Source organism: Homo sapiens, chromosome 2, assembly GCF_000001405.40.
Source record: "Homo sapiens chromosome 2, GRCh38.p14 Primary Assembly".
Lineage (NCBI taxonomy): Eukaryota > Metazoa > Chordata > Mammalia > Primates > Hominidae > Homo > Homo sapiens.
The window spans coordinates 73,142,372-73,164,521 of NC_000002.12; the positions used below are offsets into that span (position 1 = coordinate 73,142,372).

General features: G+C 45.1%; 1 annotated feature.

Annotated features, from left to right (window-relative positions):
• Window positions 21,469-21,663: a silencer, noted in NCBI's record as "fragment chr2:73390968-73391162 (GRCh37/hg19 assembly coordinates)". NCBI's record gives its function as "represses an EF-1alpha promoter that drives an FKBP-Casp9 reporter gene in an ReSE screen in K562 erythroleukemia cells {active_cell/tissue: K562}" and the evidence as "EXISTENCE:reporter gene assay evidence [ECO:0000049][PMID:32094911]".

Below are 22,150 nucleotides of genomic sequence, written 5' to 3' on the forward strand. Positions count from 1 at the left end.
GTTCTTCTTGCAGTTTCTCAATATGATATTCTAATTTACTTTTCAACTATTACTTACTAATTTATTTGTTCTTTCTTTCCATTATCTTTTTCATACCTAATATTTTCATTTGATTCTTTTAATTTTTTTCTTGTTCTTGTTTTACACTGCTCATACCTTACTTCTCATATCTCTCGTGTATTTATAGAGCTGATTTGTTTTTGTTGTTGTTGCTGTTGTTGTTTTTGAGACGGAGTCTCACTCTATCGCCCAGGCTGGAGTGTGGCGGCATGATCTCAGCTCACTGGAACCTCCACCTTCCAGGTTCAAGTGATTCTCTTGCCTCAGCCTCCCGAGTAGGTGGGATTACAGGTGCCTGCCATCACGCCTGGCTAATTTTTGTATTTTTAGTGGAGATGGGGTTTCACCATGTTGGTCAGGCTGGTCTCGAACTCCTGAACTCAAGTGATCTGCCTGCCTTGGTTTCCCAAAGTGCTGGGATTATAGGCATGAGCCACTGTGCCTGGCCTATAGAGCTGATTTGAAATTGTTGGTCAATTGATACTAATACTCCTGCCCAGTCCTGCTGCTTCTGGTGTCATATGTTGTGCATTCCTTTTTTCTTCTGGTTTAGTTTTGCCCTTCAAGTGTCTCATTATTGCCCTGTAATGCCCTTTGGGGAAGGCAGAAGGCCACTCCTTAGTATCTACCAGTCTGTTAAGTTCAAGGAGAGGATGAGGACTCGGATCTTGAGTGGAGCACCCCAGGCTCTGCACAACCACAGGTTTGTTCTCATCCTGCCCAGGGGCCTTGGTTTCACTTTCCACCCTGTGGCTAGAAGGAAGCTGTCTCCACTGATGGGATGGGCCAGGCTGGTGATTTGGAGGGGAAAGAGTGGAGGGATTGCTCAAAAATGGTTGTTCCCTAATTCAACTCCTCACCCTGGCAGGGATCTACGCTGCCCTGAGTTCATCCCCATGGACATCCTGACCAGCGAGTGGTCTGAGCCTCTGCAGTTCTGCCGTGAGGGCAAGTGATGACTGGCCAATGCAAAGGTGCAGGAGAGGCAAGAGTAGAGAGTCAATCACTATTCTCTTCCTTCATCCTTACCATCATAGCCACCTCCCTCAGGCTGCAACCACCCCCCACTCCCACATGCAGGCACACACTCCCCAGTTCTAAACAGCCTGTCAGCTCCACAGGAGTTTCTTCTCTGTTGTTATTTCCTGGCTTTCATGTTTCCCTCTATAATTTCTCTTGTGTTTAACCTGGGTAGGGAGCCAACAGCCCAAGCAAAATCCCATCTTAGCAAAAACTGGAGCAGCCAAGAGAGGCCTATTAGTCAACTTGAAAAAGAGATAGATAAATAAATAAAGAGAGAGGCTGAGGCTAGAGATACCTATATGAGAGTCATCAGGGCACAGGAGATCTTAAAGCCCTGAGCCTAGAGGAGATCTTTTGAAGGAGAAGTATGGATACAGGGAGCACCTTTTGAACAATATACTCCTTACTGTGAATAAAAATTTAGGTCTGGTTTGCACGTGAATCCCTTATCAAGCTGGCCAGTGTGAATCAGTCCTGGTGAGACTATTCACTTTGGAGACCCCACAAAATTCAAGTGTCTTGTTCAGCAAATCGAATGCACAGACCACAATCCATAGGGTCTCCTTGGTCAGGTGCCATCCCCCGCCCCCACCACCAGACTCCCTCTGCTTATATTTCCTGTGTCATTTTAACTCCTTGGAATAATGCAAGAGGTAAATATGGTGCTTATGGAAAAGTTTTGGAAAGTTGACAGGCTCTGAACAACGATAAAATACCTAATCTTTCTATTCTAATGGTCCCTTTCTCTCTGAATGAGTAAATAGATACTCACATCCTCATAGGATGCTCAGAGCCTTACAGACAAAGCCCTGCATTGGCTGAAGATCTATAAGTCAGGTGAAAGCAAATCCTGAGGCAGAAGGGAGCACTCAGGCAGGGTGTTGTAATTGTTTGAGGCATACCTAGGAGCTTGGCCAGGCTTCAACTCATCTAGGAAGTTAACTAAAGGGCCAGTAAAGGCATGGGCAGAGGAGTACATATAATCAAAGACAAATGAATAGGGAGGCCAGAAATTGAACACTAGAAAAGCTGAGACAACCTGGAGTTGGGCACCCCCATTTTTAAGTTCTCCAGCACTCTAAAATCTCCACTGTCCTGTGATTGCCTCAAAGACCTTATCCTTCACCACACTCCATCAAGCCACAGCTGAACCAAAACCATCCCACCCCACTGTTGAAATCTTAACTTCTCGATATTCTGCTTTTCTTTTCTTTTCTTTTTTTTGAGACAAAGTCTCACTCTGTCACCCAGGCTGGAGTGGCTGGAGTGCAGTGGCGCAATCTCGGCTCGCTGCAACCTCCACCTCCTGGGTTCAAGCGATTCTCCTGCCTCAGCCTCCTGAGTAGCTAGGACTACAGGCATGTGCCACCATGCCTGGCTAATTTTTGTATTTTTAGTAGACATGGGGTTTCACCATTTGGCCAGGCTGGTCTTTGGAACTTCTGACCTCAGGTGATCAGCCTGCCTCGGCTTCCCAAAGTGATGGGATTACAGGTATGAGCCACCGTGCCTGGCCAGCCTATTACACTATTAGTCTCACAACACTTGCCTTGGCAACAGTCAGCAAGTATGTATCAAGCACCTACTATGTGCCAGGTATAATATTAGATGCTTTCCTTCCCAACTCCCTTTCTTATTCAACTGGACTCATAGGGACATCCTTAAAGCCATCTCCCATAGGACTCTCAACTTAGCCCCTCAAGCTTCTCCTGCACCTGCCCCAAACAAGGGTCCCCTACCCAACTTCAACAATCCTGCTCTGCAGGTCTCCTTTAATCTGGCACCAACACCCCTAGGCCCCACACCAGACATCACACACAAGCACACACACTCAGAAAAATGAGCCACTAATGTCCTTGAATAATGTTCACAGCCTTTTTCCTGAACAAATCATCCTGACCCATCTGTGCTTCCCAACCTGTTCCTGATCCTTAGACTTCCAACTTCTGGTTTCTTGTTCCTCTGTTTAGAACCATATCTTGCCCCTCAAACACGGCTCAGGCTGCTCCCTGTGTTCTCAAACGCCATCCAATTGAAACTTCTACTTACCCTGCTTTATACTCCTATCTAGTGTCTTCCACCCTTCTCCCTCCTTTCACAGGCTACCTTCCCACTTCCATGCCCCTCTGGCTCTCTCCTCACCCCTACAGTCTGGTGTCCACCCCAGTGGCAGCTCTTCCTGAAGTCACCAATATCCTCCAAGTTGCCAAAGTCAGTGGACTCTTGCAGTCCTTTCTTGGCCTCACTGAGGCAAGTGACATTGTAAACAACCTCCTTTTTAAAAGGATTTACAAAATTAATATGTAAGTACATTCTGGTGATACCAAAAGAAAAAAGAAATCAAACCATACCAATATATATAAAGAGTAAAACTCAGCCTTAGCTGAGTGGCTAGAAGGAAGCCACCACCCCCTACTTCCACATCCTCCTGCCCCAGAGAGAACTATTATTAACAGATTGCTGTGGACTCTTCAAAGCCTTTTTCTGTTTATTTACCTCCATATATATTGACTTGGTTTTGCCAATAATAAGTTGGGTCATGCCACATAGAGTCCTAGCTTGCTTTTTCACTTGACAACATGTATGATATAGTTTGGATGTCTGTCCTCTCCAAATCTCATGTTGAGATGTCATCCCCAGTGTTGAAGGTGGGGCCTGGTGGGAGATGTTTGAGTAACAGGGCTAGATCCCTCATGGCTTGGTGCTGTTCTCTAAATAGTGAGTCAGTTCTCATGAGATCTGATTGGTTAAAGTGTGTGGCGCCTCCCCTCACTCTCTCTCTCTTGCTCCTGCTCTCGCCATGTGATGTGCCTGCTCCCGCTTCACCTTCCACCATGAGTAAAAGCTCCCTGAATCCTCCCTGGAGGCCAAACAGATGCTGCTGTCATGCTTGTACAGCTTGCAGAACTGTGAGCCAATTAAGCCCCTTTTCTTTACAAATTATCCAGCCTCAGGGATCTATAGCAATGCAAGAATGGCCTAACCCAATGTATTAGAGATTTTCCATGTCATACACATATATCCATCTCTTCTTGATTTGAATTATTCCAGAGTGTTCCATTGTACTGATGCTCTATAATTCATGAAACTCTAGCCCTACTGATTGACCTTTAAGTTGTTTCCATATTTTAATTCTGTAAATTTTGCTGTAGGCTCCCATTCCCAGAAGTATGGCCTATTAGGTACTCATCCCAGCACTTTGGGAGGCCAAGGCAGGAGGATCACCTGAGCCCAAGAGTTCGAGACCAGCCTAGACATTATGTGTTAAGCATAACATTTTTACTGGACTTACTGGAAACAAGAAAAATACTAAAAGAGAAAAGAAAAAAAATGCAAACAAGCAAAAACCTTGAGCTGAAACCAGAACAGTATATGATGGAAACTTACTAGTCAAGGCTGCCCTGAAGCAAATGCCAAGAGCCCTTCAATCAATATGTGAGACCCAGCCCAGGTGGGGACCTGAACCTAAGACTCTTGCAGCAAGGTGGGGACTCTAGAAGGGAACAAAAGTGGTTCCAAGTCCTTAGTCCCACAGTTTTCCCTGGAAACAAAAGCTGGCCCTCTCTGGAGAGTGTCCCTATTCACCTAAACTCATGCTCTCAAAGAGAACCAAACAAACTCCATCAGGTGAGCGCCAGCAGAAACCCTACACAACAGATGTAGATTCCTGAGAGGGGAATCATCAGCTACATAATAAGCACTCTTACATCTGAAATGTCTACAGAAATACAACATGGAATCACAGAAGTAAGCAACAAAGAAGAGCCTATCTGAAAGGACAAAATAGAATTACAGAAGATTAGAATGTCTAGCAAAGAAAAAATAGAATTCCTAAAGTAAGTAAACTTAGTGGACTGAATATTAGGTAGGTATGATGGCATGTACCTGTAGTCCCAGCTACTGGGGAGGTTGAGGTGGGAGGATTGCTTGAACCCAGGAGGTCGAGGCTGCAGTGAGCCATGATTGTGCTACTGCACTCAAGCCTGGGTGACAGAGCAAGATCCTGTCTCAAAAAACAAACAAACAAACAAAACAACTTAGTGGACATGGAAAAAGTGGACACCATGTGTGTCTTGATGTGATGCAGTATAAACTACACAGCCCAGTGTATAAAGTGGGGTTGCCCAATAAGAACCCACATCTAAATGAGCCTTCACAGCTGAGTTCTGGTTTACAGCAACACAGGAGAGAGAAAAATGGGTTAAAGACACCATGAAGAAGGTGAGAGACAAAACCAGAAATTGGGACATTCCACAGAACAACTGATCCAGTTTCTTCAACAAGTCACTGCCACAAAGAAAAAAAAAAAAGGTAGGGATCGCTCTAGATTAAGAGAAATTTAAGAGACATAATTACTAAATGCAATATGGGCCCCTAATGCAGACCAACTATAAAAAGACATCTTTGAGATAGTTTAGGAAATTTGAATATGGCCTAGCATTATACTATAAAGAGCACCAAGGAATTCCAATCATTTGATATTGTAAGAATACCAAACAATTTAACAGAATTGTTCATTGTTAATCCGACAACAGCAAATACAACACACACATATAAGAGGAAAAGACGAAGCAAGTTTGACAACATTTTGGTGATTGTTGAGTCTCGGCAATAGGTATATGGGAATTCATTCAACTGTTCTTCCCACGTTTAGAGCATGCTTGATGTCTTCTATAATAAATTATTTTTAAATCTCTAGAGAAGGATATTATACTCTATCTTGTTAACATTTACAAAATCTCCCAAGCCTTACCCTTAGAGAATGCTATATAAATTTGGACTGAACAATTTTATATGTAGTTTTTCCTATTCATTTCTCATAGTCATAATTAATACTTGTAGAATATTAAGATTCTTAGTGTGATTACTTTGAGATCCTTGCAATAGCCTTGTGAAGTAGATATTACTACCATCTTGCAAAAAATGCATATTGTTGCCTTCTTATACATTAAGACTAGGGAAACATTTCACCTAATTTTTTTGTTGTTTTAACATTCCAATACAATGCTCAATCTTTTTGCTGTCAACTTTCCAACCTAGCTAGATTTTTTCCTGACTATAAAAATAATACATGCTCACTGTACAAAATTCTTTATGACATAAAACTATGGAAGAGGAAAAAAATTACACTGAATCAACATGTCCAGACGTAACAACAAATGTCACATATACATATTACATATGAATATGTATCACATATGTGTATCACATCACATATTACATATAGATATGTAATATATTTCCTTCTACCCTTTTAAACATAGGATCTTATGAAATACTGAATAAATACAAAAGAATATTCATTACATATGTGTAAAATATAAGGAACAAAAATAAAGCAAACATCAGTGGATCCACCATTCAGTAAACCAGAACTTTTGAAATCCCTGCCATCCTGCCCAGATCTCAGCCCCCTTCATCCCAATGACATTAAAGTGTTTTTTTGTTTGAGACAGAGTCTTGCTCTGTCACCCGGGTTGCAGTGCAGTGGCGCGATCTCCACTCACTGCAACCTCCACCTCCCGAGTTCAAGAAATTCTCCTGCCTCAGACTCCCGAGTAGCTGGGACTACATGTGTGCGCCACTACACTCAGCTAATTTTTGTATTTTTAGTAGAGACGGGGTTTCACCATGTTGGCCAGGCTCTTCTCAAACTCCTGGCCTCAAGTGATCCCCCTACCTCAGCCTTCCGAAGTGCTGGGATTACAGGCGTGAGCCACCGCGCCTGGCCTAAAGTGTTTTGAATTTTGTCTTTTCACTTCTTTACTTTTCTTTATAGTTTTACCACATATGTAATAGGCAGTTTCATATGATTCAAGTTGGTACTCATTCCTAAACAATACATTGTTTTGTTCAGTCTTTTTTTTTTTTTTTTTTTTTTTTGAGACGGAGTCTCCCTCTGTCGCCCAGGCTGGAGTGCAGTGGAGCGATCTCGGCTCACTGCAAGCTCCGCCTCCCGGGTTCAAGCGATTCTTCCACCTCAGCCTCCCGAGTAGCTGGCATTATGGGCACCCGCCATCATGCCTGGCTAATTTTTTTTTTTTTCTTGTATTTTTGTAGAGACGAGGTTTCACTATGTTGGCCAGGCTGGTCTTGAACTCCTGACCTCAGGTGATCCGCCCGCCTAGGCCTCCCACGCCTGCCTGGGCCTTCCAAAGTGCTGGGATTACAGGTGTGAGCCATCGCACCAGGCCCAGTTTTTTTCAGATCTTTTTTTCGAGAGAGTATTACTCTATCGCTCCGGCTGGAGTGCAGTGGTGCAATCATGGCTCACTGCAGCCTCGACCTCCCAGGATTCAAACAATCCTCCCACCTCAGCCTCCTGAGTAGCTGGAACCACAGGCACACACCACTACGCCCAGAGAATTTTTGTATCGTTTGTAGAGATGGGGTCTGTAGACCATCTTGGCTAACACGGTGAAACCCCGACTCTACTGAAAGTACACAAAAAATTAGCCGGGCGTGGTGGCGGTGCCTGTAGTCCTAGCTACTCGGGAGGCTGAGGCAGGAGAATGGCGTGAATGTGGGAGGCGGAGCTTGCAGTGAGCCAAGATTGTGCCACTGCACTCCAACCTGGGCGACAGAGCGAGAGACAATGTCTCAAAACAAACAAACAAACAAAAAAAAACAGATGGGGTCTGTAGAGATGGGGTCTCGCTATGTTGCCCAGGCTGGTCTCAAATCCTGGACTCAAGTGATCCTCCTGTCTGGCCTCCCAAAGTGCTGAGATTACAGGTTTGAGCTACCACATCCAGCCTTTAATTTTTTTAAAAAAATTATTCTACCAGAGTCTTCTCAGCATATTTTGTTTAGTCTTGACTTTTCTTTAAATCCTACTGCATACTGTATTTTTCTGCAGTTTGCTTTTTCATAGTCATGAGAGTCATTCACTTTGATTTGTGCAGCCATATGGCATTTATTTTTCACTGCTCCATTGTGTCATGTGGACCACGGTCTTATCTATTTTTTTTTTATCTATTCACTTTCAATGTATCACACTTTTATTTTTGTGTATAATTTATATATAATTGAGATAAAAGTATATATAATTGATATCTTAATTTTTTCCACCTAAAATTATTTTAGGTGATTTGTACATTTTATTTACTTATTTATTTTTTAACACAGGGTCTCACTCTGTTGCCCAGGCTGGAGTGCAATGGCACAATCACAGCTCACTGCACCCTCGACCTCCCTGGCTCAAGCAATCCTTCCACTTAGCCTCCCAAGTAGCTTGAACCACAGACACATGCCACGACGCCTGGGTAATTTTTTAAATTTTTGCCCAGGCTGGTCTTGAATTCCTGGGCTCAAGTGATCCTCCTGCCTTGGCCTCCTAAAGTGCTGGGATTACATGAGCCACCCCACACCCAGCCAATTTTGTACATTTTTAAAACTTTGTGAAACACCATGAAAATGACTTCATATTATTCATCTATGGACATATAATAATTGTTTAAGCATTCACCTCATGATAGAATTTAATTTTCCTCTAGTTTTATATCAACAAACAATACCATAATGCAAAAGCATTTTATTTTGTACATTGGACCACAGATTAGACACAGCTAAAAAGAGAAATAGTGAAGAAATTACTTAAAATGCAGCAAAGACAGACAGGGAGATGGAAAATGTGAAAGAAGATGTAATAGCTATGGGGTATAGAATGAAACGGCCTGTCATTTGTCTAACTGAAATACTAGAAAGACATTATGGAAAGAATGTCAGAAAATCAATAATATATAGAGAGATTAAGGAAGAGTATTCCAGAATTGATAAAATATATGAATCCAGACATACAGGATGCACAATATAATATCAAAAAGGATAAATAAAAAGAATTCCACTCATGGGATTCTTGTAAGGATATTGAAGAATACTAAAGACAAAGTTGTAAAAGCAGCCAGAGATTGAAAATAAAAGAAGTTCAAGGCCGGGCGCAGTGGCTCAAGCCTGTAATCCCAGCACTTTGGGAGGCCGAGGTGGGCGGATCACGAAGTCAAGAGATCGAGACCATCCTGGCCAACATTGTGAAACCCTGTCTCTACTAAAAATACAAAAATTAGCTGGGCGTGGTGGTGGGCACCTGTAGTCCCAGCTACTCAGGAGGCTGAGGCAGGAGAATGGGGTGAACCCGGGAGGCGGAGCTTGCAGTGAGCCGAGATCGCGCCACTGCACTCCAGCCTAGGGGACAGAGCGAGACTCCGTCTCAAAAAAAAAAAAAAAAAGTTCAGTTAAAGATCTTATCATCTGGCTGGGCACAGTGGCTCACGCCTGTAATTCCAGCACTTTGGGAGGCCGAGGCGGGCAGATCAGCTGAGGTCAGTAGTTTGAGACCAGCCTGGCCAACATGGAGAAACTCTGTCTCTACTAAAAATACAAAAATTAGCTAGGCGTGGTGGCAGACACCTGTAATCCTAGCTACTCGGGAGGCTGAGGCAGGAGAATTGCTTGAACCCAGGAGATGGGGGTCGCAGTGAGCCAAGATTGCATCATTGCCCTCCAGCTTGAGTGACAGAGTGAGACTCTCTCTCAAAAAAAAAAAGAAAAGAAAATCTTATCATCTTACAACTGAATTACAAATATCAATATGGACCCATGCCTTACTTTTAATATGTATTTTCCAGCTCTGTCCTCTGAAGAAATGACAACCCAGTAGCAATAAGCACACTTAGTGGCCAATTTTGCTCACTAAAAGGAACAAGTGCTCCCTGGAGAAATGGCTGGTGCCAGTTCTAGGGCAAGAAATGGACAAGAGAAACCTGGGAGATCTCATTGAGCCATAAAGGAAGGAAGTTGTCAGCAATGACTAAGGTTGAGGACACAGGAGGTGGGGCGCAGTGGCTCACATATGTAATCCAAGCACTTTGGGAGACCGAGGTGGGTGGATCACTTGAGGTCAGGAGTTTGAGACCAGCCTGGCCAACATGGCAAAACCCCATCTCTACTAAAAATACACACACAAAAAAAATTAGCCAGGCGTGGTGGCACACAACTGCAGTCCCAGCCACTCGAGAGGCTGAGGCAGGGGAATCACTTGAACCTGGGAGGCAGAGATTGTAGTGAGTTGACATCGCGCCACTGCACTCCAGCCTGGGCAACAGAGTGAGACTCCATCTCAAAGTAATTAATTAATTAATTAAATAAAAGGACACAGGAACCAACTTGAAGGGACATTTGCTAAAGACAAGATAATAATAGCATCATTATAATAAATAATAACTGCATTTTACAGAAAATTTTCATAATTACACATACATACACGCTGCCACACCTCATCAATCAAGGGATGTTAGTTACGTCTTGGTCAAGTTGTTAATAAAGGGAAGTTTCCAATGGGTGAATTCCAGTTAATAATTAGAGAAGAAATGATAGAATTCGAGGGAAACCACCGTTTAGAAACCCCTAATCAAGTAACAGATGAATTTAACATCAAAGCACAACAACCACGCAAAATGTACCTCCTAGACTGACATAATAGAAAGCACACAGTGACACCTATGACATGTTTTTGCCAAAAAAAAAAAACAAAACAAAACCCAAAAAACTACATTAAGGCTCTAGATATAGATATTTATGGGAAATACAGGGGCTGGAGGAACAAGTGAGATGACACCATGAGGAAGCAATCAGCTAAATTCTGATTACGGGAAATTCTGCAGGACAAATGGCCTGTTTTAAATCAACAAATAAATAGCTTTAAAAAGGGCTGGAGTGGGACTGTTATAGATGAAAGGAGACTTAAAAGACAAAATGCACAGTGTAGACTTTGGATGCTGAGTCAAACAAACCAACTGTAAAAAGGGCTTTTTGGAACAATCAGGCTGGCAATGGGGATACTCATCCACTTTTAAACATGCATAAGGAATTAGATAATATTAAGAAATTAACAGAAAAATAAGGCGAAAGGTCCTTATCTCTAAGAAATACAACTTGATCCATGAATATATCTGAAATTCGCTTTAAATGCTCCAGTAAAACAAAGAATGCCTGTGAGGAGGGGAGGCAGAATGTAGAAACACTATTGGCAAAATGTTGTTAAACTGTTGAAGTTGGATGTTGGGAATGTAGAAGTTCATTATGCTGTTCTGTCTACTTTGAGGTAAATTTATAAAATTTTCCATAAGATTTTTTTTTAAAAAAAGGTAATCAGGAAGAAAAATTATATCACCTGGCCAGGCGTGGTGGCTCACTCCTGCAATCCCAGCACTTTGGGAGGCTGAGGTGGGTGGATCATGAGGTCAGGAGATAAGACCATCCCGGCTAACATGGTGAAACCCCGTCTCTACTAAAAATACAAAAAATTAGCCAGGCGTGGTGGCAGGCGCCTGTAGTCACAGCTACTTGGGAGGTTGAGGCAGGAGAATGGCATGAACCCGGGAGGTGGAGCTTGCAGTGAGCTGAGATCGCGCCACTGCACTCCAGCCTGGGCGATAGAGCAAGACTCCATCTCAAAAAAAAAAAAAAAAAAAGAAAAGTTGTATCGTCTATAAAGATACAACTATTGAACTGACTTTCTCAACAGCAAGCGCAGAAAACAGAAGATAATAGAATAGGCCAGGCATGGTGGCTCACGTCTGTAATCCCAGAACTTTGGGAGGCTGAGGCAGGCAAATCACCTGAGGTTGGGAGCTTGAGACTAACCTGGCCAACATGGTGAAACACTGTCTCTACTAAAAATACAAAAATTAACCCAGTGTGGTGGTGCATACCTGTAATCCCAGCCAAGATCCCACCATTGTACTCCAGCCTGGGCAAGAGAGTGAGACTCTGTCTCAGGAGCAAAACAAAAACAAAACAAAAAACAAAAACAGAACACAACAGAATAATACAGGACTAAGAGAAAGGGCTAAGTCAAAGGACTAAGAGAAAATAACTGTCACACTAGAATCATATATTCAGCAAAACCAACTTTGAAGAATAAGGTGAATTAAGGACATATCCAGATAAACAGAAACTGATTTAGCACCAATAAACCTGTCCTAAAGAACTGCCAAGGAATATTCTTCAGGAAGAAGGAAAATGATCTTCCTTCAGGAAGAAGGAAAATGAAGGAATGTCAGAGATTCAAGAAGGAATGGTGAGCAAATCAACTGGTAACATGTAGGTAAACAAATGTTGCCTGTATTGAGTAATTATGGTATTTTTGATCTTTTGAACTTTTGATGTTTTTTAATCACTTGTTACTGGTAAGTAGGAGAACTGTTGATTTTTATATGTTAATCTTGTATGTGGTCACTTAATTATCTTGTTAGTTATAATAGTTTTTCTGTTAACTCTCTTTTCTAGGTACATAGTACAGTAACAGCATCTGCAAATAATGATATTTTTAGTTGTGTTTTGGTCAAGTAGTTAATAAAGGAAAGTTTCCAGTGGGTGAATTCCAGTTAATAATTCCAAATGTATACTTTTTTTTTTTTTTTTTTTGAGATGGAGTCTCGCTCTGTCATCCAGACTGGAGTGCAGTGGTGCGATCTCGGCTCACTGCAACCTCTGCCTCCTGGGTTCAAGCAATTCTCCTGACTCAGCCTCCCAAGTAGCTGGGATTACAGGTGCCCACCACCATGCCCAGCTATTTTTTGTATTTTTAGTAGAGATGGGTTTTCGCCATGTTACCCAGGCTGGTTTTGAACTCCTGACCTCAGGTGATCCCCTGCTTTGGCCTCCCAAAGTGCTGGGGGATTACAGGCATGAGCCACCGCGCCTGGCCCAGAAGGTATACTTTCTTTTGTCTTGTTGTCTTAGTAGACCCTTCAGTATAATGTTGAATAATAGCAATGACAGTGGACATTTATGTGTCGGTCTTAGATTTTGTGAGAATGCTTTCACTATTTCACCATTAAGTATGCAATTGATTTCTGATTGTTTCCCTTTGTCATGTTAAGGTTTTTTTCTAATCCTAGCTTGCTAAAGTTTAATGAATTCTACTGAAAGCTGAGGTCCTATGTGGTTCAACATAGATACAGAGTCCTATTCAAATATGTGTTATTTGGCTTCCAAACAGAAATCAAAAAGAAATTCAACTTATACTCCACTAGAACACACTTTTCAAGACCCATTTGATTTCCCTCTCCCAGTTCTCTTTTACCCTAGAGCTCTTCTGGAAACCCTCATACTTAAGCCCCAATGCAGGGACCCCGCCCCACCCCACATGGACTTCCTTTCTCTAACTACCCCGTCAACACACCTGTTTATATTGTATAGATAAACTTCGTTTTTCTGGCTGAAGGCCCCACCTTCCCTCCAGCCTCTTAATTTTGTCTGTTTTCCCACTCTGGACCATACATGATAAAAGATCCTGGGACCAGATTGGCAAAGTTTCTTTAGAGGGCGGGCAAGTGGACACATTTTTTTTTTTTTTTTTTTTTTTAAGACGGTGTCTTGCTATGTCACCCAGGCTGGAGTGCAGTGGTGCCATCTCGGCTCACTGCAACCTCTGCCTCCCAGGTTCAAGTGATACTCCTGCCTCAGCCTCCTGAGTAGCTGGGACTACAGGTGTCCGCCACCACACCCAGCTAATTTTTGTATTTTTAGTAGATACGGGGTTTTGCCATGTTTGCCAGGCTGGTCTCTAATTCCTGACCTCAAGTGATCCACCCACCTTGGCCTCCCAAAGTGCTGGGATTACAGGCGTGAGCCATCACGCCCGGCTTCATCCACTTTTAGACTCTCCTGCCCCTTGCATTCACCACACGCTCCCTTGGGTTCTCTCCCACCTCTCTGGTATATACACCCCCAGTCCCTCCCATGCTGATGCTCCCCAGTGCTTCTGCCTTGGACCTGCCTTTATCCCGAAACCTGGGAACTCTCAGCCACTTCATAGCTTGCATGGTTGCACACAAAATGATTATCCCAAATCTGCATATTTAACCCCAACCTTTCCCCAGAGCTCCAGAATTATTTATCAATTGCCAGTACACATCTCCTACAGGATGTCCTCAGGACCTCACGTTCCACAAAACCCTACTCACTTTCCCTGACCGCCACCACACGGCCCCTCTTCTGTATTCCTATCCGAGTTCTGGATGTCATCCAGGAGACAAAGGTGGAAGTCAGCTCCCCAGGCCCTCACAGTTGCTCCCCACATGCAATGGCTTATCAGAACTTTCCCATCACATCCAAACTCCTATCCCGGCTCCATCCCCGCTGTCACGGTCTTTGTACAACACTGATTGCCTCCTACCAGGTCTCATGCTCCAGCCTCCTGCCTGGTCTCCTGACTGGGGCTTGCAGTCTTCTGGCGCTACCCCTCTGTTCCGCTGCCACTGGAACGTGCGCCCCCAAGTCCCCACCAGGCAACTTCCGCAGGGCGCAGTGATGAACCGAGGGCGCCCTCTGCTGCTGTCCCAGAACTCCCACTCCAGTGAGCAGCTCGGCTCCCGGAGGCGCTGCCAGATCAGGGTTCTGACTTCCTTCTCTCCAAGAAATCAGGTCGCTTGGCTCCAGCCAGGAAGGCCGCCCCCATTGCGGGCTGCGAGCAGTGAGAAAGTCGGTCATCATTCCTTTCCCAGACCCAGGTCAACCTCACTGCCCCCACTGATCCACAAGACGCACGGCCCTCCCTCCCCTAGCTCACAGCCTGAGGGGTACCTCCCGAAAGCAGAAGACCCCCACGCCCCTGGGCTCAGTCAGACTGAGCCAGTGTGAGGGGGGTGCAGCCTGCCGGACCTGGACTCTGGGAGTGGACAGCTGTCACCTGTCCTTCGGGTGCTTAGAAAGAGTTGCTCCTTCGGATGCAGCCCTGAGGACGTGCAACTCAAAAGGCGCTCTTCCTCCTGGATGGAAGGGGGAACGCCTGGGGGACAGCGTGAAGTCCCGCAGCGCGACGCCCTGAAAGCAGCCTGGATTTCATTCTCCCGTAGCATCTTATTTTATTTTATTTTATTTTTTGACGGAGTCTTGCTCTATCGCCCAGGCTGGAGTGCAGTTGCGCAATCTGGGCTCACTGCAACCTCCACCTCCCGGGTTCACACCATTCTCCTGCCTCAGCCTCCCGAGTAGCTGGGACTACAGGCGCCGGCCACCGCGCCCGGCTAATTTTTTTGTAGCTTTAGTAGAGACGGGGTTTCACCGTGTTAGCCAGGATGGTCTCGATCTCCTGACCTCGGGATCCACCTACCTCGGCCTCCCAAAGTGCTGGGATTACAGGCGAGAGCCACCGCGCCCGGCCTCCCGTAGCATCTCATTAAGGTGTCCTGGGTTCACACCTCTGCCGCTTCTAAAATGGATCCCATAGCCTCATGGAGAGATAAACAAGTAACAAACGCGAAGATGGTGGAAGGAGGCCAACAGACTCCTTTTAGAAGATAAAGTCATCTGGATGTGGTGGTTGATTAAAGTCACTAAATAAATGTTAATATTTATTGACTGCTCCTGAGTGCCAGGCTCTGTGTGGAGTCTGAGGAAGAGGGGGGAGTCTCCCCCAAGCTTCTAGCCTGAGAAACTGATGGGAACAGGGAAGAACAGATTGAGTGAGGCTAGGGGTGTGCGATGATGGGTCCTGCGTGGGACAAGCTGAGTGTGTGGGGTGTTTCCCAGCGAGGGGCTCATTAGGTGGCTGCTATTCAGGTTAGCACTAGGGGGGACAGCAGGGAGCTGATGGGATCTGTTGGGAGCCCTCGACAGACAGAGGTCACTGAAGCCATGGGGGTGAGCCAGCCCCCAGAGAGGGAGTGTAGAGTGAGGAGAGGACAACAGAGCCAAACCTGAAGGTCACTGGCTCTGAAGCACAGGAGCCCACAGAGGAGCAGTTAGACAGGTAGGGAGAGAGTGTGTGACCTGGAAACCCAGAGACAGTGCTTCAGGAAGGAGCAATGGCATGGCGTCCTTGAGTAATAAGGGACCTGAGAAGTGTCTGTTACCTTAGCCACAAGGAGATCAGGAGAACACTTCTGCTCAATGGAGGAAGGCAAAAGGTTGACCAGTGTTCAAGAAAGGTGGAACCAGAGTTTAGGAGTGAGAAAGGGGCAAAGAGGGGTGTGGTTTGTTTTAATGGGAGAGACCCGAGGGGGTTTAATTGCAGATGGGAAGGAACCAAAACCTGTGAAGGGAGGTTGCAGAAGAAGGACAAAAGAAGGGTGATTGAATAGCTAGTCTAACATGTGGGCAAAAGTCATGTGGTTTAAGATAAGATGGAATTACTTACATGTCCAATAAGGGATTGGTTAGGCTAAATAAATGCCTAACAAGATGAGATTTATTACAAAATGATGTTCTAACAGTAAGTAACTAACTGGAACAAACATATCTAATGATATAATCTTAAATATTTTCTTTTTTATGTTTTATCATTTTTTTCTATCACGAAGTAATACATACTCATTTCAGCAAAAGTCAGAAAATACCTTACATAAAGAACAACCAGAATTCCAGGCCGGAGGCAGTGGCTCACGCCTGTATCACCACCACATCCACTATATTCTATTTGCTAATATAGAATATTCTATTCTAGAAGATTCTAGAATAGAATGTTTATGTGTGATTATTCTATTAGCAAGTCACTAAGTCCAACCCAAACTCAAGGGGAGTGGAAGTAAGTGCCATCTCCTGAAGGGAGGAGTATCAAATAAATGTGAGATATTTAAAAACTACCACAACATGAGGCAGGAGAATTGCTTGAACCTGGGAGGCGGAGGTTGCAGTGAGCCGAGATCATGCCACTGCACTCCAGCCTGGACGACAAGAGACTCCATCTCAAAAACCAAACCAAACCAAACCAAACCAAACCAAACCAAACCAAAACAAAATAAAACTACCACAACAAAAGATCTCTGAGAAAATACATAAGATACTAATAAAATTTGGTTCCTGTGAGGAAAAGAACTGTGTGGCTGGGAGACGGGAAGAAGGGAGGATTTTACTTTGTACTCACTTTATCTTAAGGATTTCTGAGGCTGGGCAGGTGGCTCTTTTGGGAGGCTGATGCGGGCAGATAGCTTGAGCTCATAAGTTCAAGACCAGCCTGGGCAGCATGGCAAAACTCCATCTCTACAAAAAATACAGAAATTAGCCAGGCATGGTGGTGCATGCCTGAAGTCCCAGTTACTCGGGAGGCTGAGGTGGGAGGATGGCTTGAGCCTAGGAGGCAGAGGTTGCAGTGAGCTGAGATCGTGCCACTGCACTCCAGTCTGGGCAATAGAGCCAGACCTTGTCTCAAAAAAATTTTTAAAAAGTGAATTTTTAACAGTGTAAATCTATTAACTATCCAGAAATAAGTAAATAAATTTTAAATGACTGTGGAATATTTTCTTTTTAAAAAATAAAATTGGCCAGGTGCAGTGGCTCACTCATGCCTGTAATCCCAGCACTTTGGGAGGCCGAGGTGGGTGGATCATCTGAGGTCAGGAGTTTGAGACCAGCCTGGCCAACACGGTGAAACCCCATCTCTACTAAAAATACAAAAACTAGCTGGGCTTGATGGTGGGCACCTGTAACCCCAGCTACTCAGGAGGCTGAGGCAGGAGAATCGCTTGAACTCAGGAGGCGGAGTTTGCAGTGATGGAGATCGTACCACTGCACTCCAGCCTGGGACAGAATGAGACTCCGTCTCTAAATAAATAAATCAATAAAATTGTTATGCTATTCAGCTTGATTTTGGCCAAACTGGTTTCAGTCCAGCGTAGTTGCTAAAATGAGACCTCTGAGAAGGTAAGAATGGCTGGGGTGGGAGCACAGAGGATGGGATTCATGTTAAGAGAGAGGAAAGAAGTTTTGGGGTACAAATTGACAGTATTTCTTTTTTATGCCAACTATTTGTGAAGTGGAGGCTTTCTGGAGGAAGCGGCATTCATCTGAACCACAAAGCCTGGATTGGATTTGGCCTCGCCAAGATGAGGGGTGCCAAGGGGTGATGGCACTCCTCAGCATGAGCTGAGATGAAGATGCGAGAATGAGAGGGTCACACCAAGGACAGCTGGAGGGTGGGGTGCCCATGGGAGGTAGGATGGGCAGGTTGGGCCCCATGCATGGAGGGCCTTGAATGGCAAGTCTGGCATCGGGGCTTTCCTTGGAAGCAGTGAAGGCTTTTGATCAGAGTTGTGTAATTAGAGCAGTGCTCTAGTCCAGCAGTCCCCAAACTTTTGGCACCAGGGACCAGTTTCGTGGAAGACAATTTTTCCATGGATGGAAGGGTAGGGGGGATGGTTTCAGGATGATTCCAGCATGTTACATTTATTATGCATTTTATTTCTATTATTATTACATTGCAATATATAATGAAATAATTATACAACTCACCATAATGTAGAATCAGTGGGAGCCCTGAGCTTGTTTTCCTGCAACTAAAAGGTTCCATCTGGAGGTGATGGGAGACAGTGACAGATCATCATGCATTAGATTCTCATAAGGAACAAGCAACCTAGATCCCTCGCATGCACACTTCACAATAGGGCTCGCGCTCCTATGAGAATCCAAGGCCTCTTATCTGACAGGAGGCAGAGCTTAGGTGGTGATGCTCACTGGCCAACCACTCACCTCCTGCTGTGTGGCCTGGTTCCAAACAGGCCACCAGACCCATACCAGTCAGTGGCCTGGGGGTGAAGACCCCTGCTCTAGGAAGATCAATCTGTGAGCGGAGTGAAGGTTAGATTTGGTAAAGTCTAAAGGCCAGACAACCTGTTATAAGACAATCTCAATGAGTAAGAGGGTGCAAGGGCATTGCCACATACACAGGCTGTAGTCTGCTTGGGACCAAATCCTGAGTCCATCCTTAGCTGTGTTACCAAATCTTCACTATAAAGTGCTAATAGTACATTTCTTGTAAGTTTGTGTGAAATTTACAACTGGTTGGCAATTCTTAACAGTGCCTGGCACACAGTAAATGGTCAGTAAAAGTTATCCTGTATTGTTAAGAGCAGCCCAACCCTAGGGTGGTTGATTATTGGAAAAATTTTGGGAAGGAGAACTTTTGATGACAAATTAGTGGTAGAAGAGAGGGACAACAGTACATTTATGAATATGGGATGAGGGACACAAAGTCTTTCAGGTTCCTAGCAGCATGGCAGCTCCAAAAACAAAGCTGGGGCAGGCAGGTGAGGAACAGCTCTTGGGGGTAACAAGATGCTAAGTCAGCTTTGGGATGTTGGTCTCACAGCATGGGCAGGAAGTTGATCAGAGCTCCAAAAAGACGACATTCTTTCTTACTCTCTCTCACACATACACATTCAGACACATACACAGGCACACATAAAATATCTTTAGAAAAATGCAAAGAAAAAAATAATGGAGAGCTAGAAGACTGGGAAATGGACTTGCTCTTTATTTTAAAATAACTGGGGCTGGGTGCTGTGGCTCATGCCTGTAATCCTAGCACTTGTGGAGGCCAAGGCAGGGGGATTACCTGAGGTCAGGAGTTCAAGCAACCTGGCCAACATGGTGAAACCCCGTCTCTACTGAAAATACAAAAAAATTAGTCGGGCATGGTGGTGCACACCTGTAATCTCAGCTACTCGGGAGGCTGAGGCAGGCAAATCTCTTGAACCCAGGAGGTAGAGATTGCAGTGAGGCGAGATCGCGCCACTGCACTCCAGCCTGGGCGACAGAGCAAGACTCTGTCTCAAAAATAAATACAATAAAATAAATAACCGGGATTTTAAAGTGCTAGGATTACAGGCATGAGCCACCATGCTTGTCCAAACATGTATATTTTTACAAAAACCTGTACACCAATGTACATATAGCAGCTTTATTTATAACAGCCCCCAACTGGAAACTACCCAATATTTGTCAACCGGTAATGAGTAAATCGACCATAGTACATACAGACAATGGAACGCTACTCAGCAATAAAAAGGAACAAACTATTGATCAATGCAATAATATGAATGATTTGCAAATGCACTGAATCAATGCAGACTCAAAAGGCTTCATACTGTAGCATTCCACTTAGATAACATTTTTGAAAGAGGTGAAACTATAGGGAAGGAGAGCAGATGAGTGGTTGCCAGGGCTTAGGGGTGGAAGAGCAGTTGACTGAAATGAGACAGTAAAGGAAATGTGGGGGAAGGATGGAACTGTCTTATATCTTGATTTTGGTAGTGGCCCAGGGCTCTACTCATTTGTCTAAACTCATAACCCTGTATACCAGAAAGAGTGAATGTTACTGTGTTTAAATGTTAACGTTGCGGTTACTTCTCTGGTTCTTTGTTTCCCACCCTTGCATTATTTATGTCAAATTAGGCAATTTCAAAAGAAGAAAAGTGGCCCTTTCCAAGGTATACTTTTAATATTCTGGAAGCTGTTTACAGGTTTCTAAATAGATAGCATCATGCCCTAATATTCAGAAGATGAGGAAATTGAAGGTGCTGGCCTTGGGGTCAATGATGGTGGAGAGAGGTCTGGCTCTGGGTGTGCATGAAGAAGGGACTCGAGTTAGGGGAAGACTTTTGGGAAGGGGTGCGTTAAGGATGCTTTTCAGTGGGGCCAGAGAGGGAAGAAGGGAAATGGGAGGCTGCTGGGGAGAGGAGGCTGACCCGGGGATCCAGAGCCCTGCGGAGGAGGCAGCCTTGGCCATGGGCAGGAGCCGTGCACCTAGAGGAGGTGTGGAGGAAGGAAGGGGAAGTTAAGGTGACACAGAGAGGGTGGAATGAGCCGTCCCTGGGTCTACAGGGCTCAGTTTGTCTCCTGCCCCGCCCCACGGGGTCAGGGGAAGGGTAGGCCTGGCTTTCGGGCCAGTGATGGCAGAGATAGGCCTGGCTCCCAAGGGGTGGGAGGGTTTGGGGGGTGTCGGGGGTGGGGTGGAGAGGATAAGTCAGGGGGCAGCGGCCAGGCCACAGGCCCCAGGGCTCAGGGCTCGGTCACCAGGGAGTGGGAGTTGGGAGACGTGGCTTATCAGCTCCATCGGAGCCCGCCACACCCCACCTCCCCTCACCCCCACCACCTCTCACCCCATCGGCTCCAGCCTACTGCTCTCCTAGGGGAGGGGGTAGAAATGGGCTCTCCAGTGTTTCATTCATTTCTGCAGTTAATTGACCCCTAAAGCACTTCCCAATGCCATGCCACCTCCACAGAGGGTGGAATCAGAAGGGAAAGCAGTCTAATGACAGTTTGTTATTACTTACTACTGGCTCTAAGGCTCTGAGTGTGGGGCTCTGCATGTACTGGCTCACTTTGCCTTTACAACTCCTTGAGGGAAGGAGGTATTATTATCTATGTCCATTTTACAGATGAGGAAACAGACACAGAGAGGTTAAGGAACTTGCCCAAGGCCACACAGCCAGTAGTGAGGACTTGGGTTTTGGACCTGGGTAAGATTAGCTTCCATTCTTGACTGGGCTACACTAGTGGAGAAGGAGGTCTGGGCCTCTCATCCAAAGTTCTTTGGGTTCTTTTTTTCCTATTTGGGAGCCATCTGTAATGCTTTCCAGTTCAGGAGCGCCGTGGAGGTGGGGGTGGGAGGTAGGCAATGGTTCAATTCTGGTTTCTAAGTGGTTTAAAAGAAAAAGCCTCTGGGCTGGTGCCTGGATTGGTGGGAAATGCAGCCAGCACTGCCACCCAGTGGTCATGTCCTGAAGGACCACTCTCCCCATTCCTTCAGGGACTTGCTGAAAAGACTTACAGGATCCCCTCCTGACCCGCTGGGTCCCTGAGAACTTGGTGGTCAAACCTTTCCCAAGAGGGCCCAGAGCCCCATCAGTTGAGGCAGTTTCTTCAAACTGCTGTCTGGAACCCATTAATGCTCATGAACTCTATGTAGAAGGTTACAATCCAATATTTTTAGGCCGGGCGCGGTGGCTCAAACCTGTAATCCTAGCACTTTAGGAGGCCGAGGTGGGCGGATCACTTGAGGCCAGGAGTTCGAGATCAGCCTGGCCAGCATGGTGAAACACCATCTCTACTAAAAATACAAAAATTAGTTGGGCGTGGTGGCACATGCCTGTAACCCCAGCTACTTGGGAGGCTGAGGTGGGAGAATCACTTGAACCTGGGAAGTGGAGGTTGCAGTGAGCTGAGATTGCACCAGTGCACTCTAGCCTGGGTGGCAGAGTGAGACCCTGCCTCAAAAAATAAAATAAAATAAAGTCACAACCAGTATTTATTTATTTATTTTTTGAGTTGGAGTCTTGCTCTT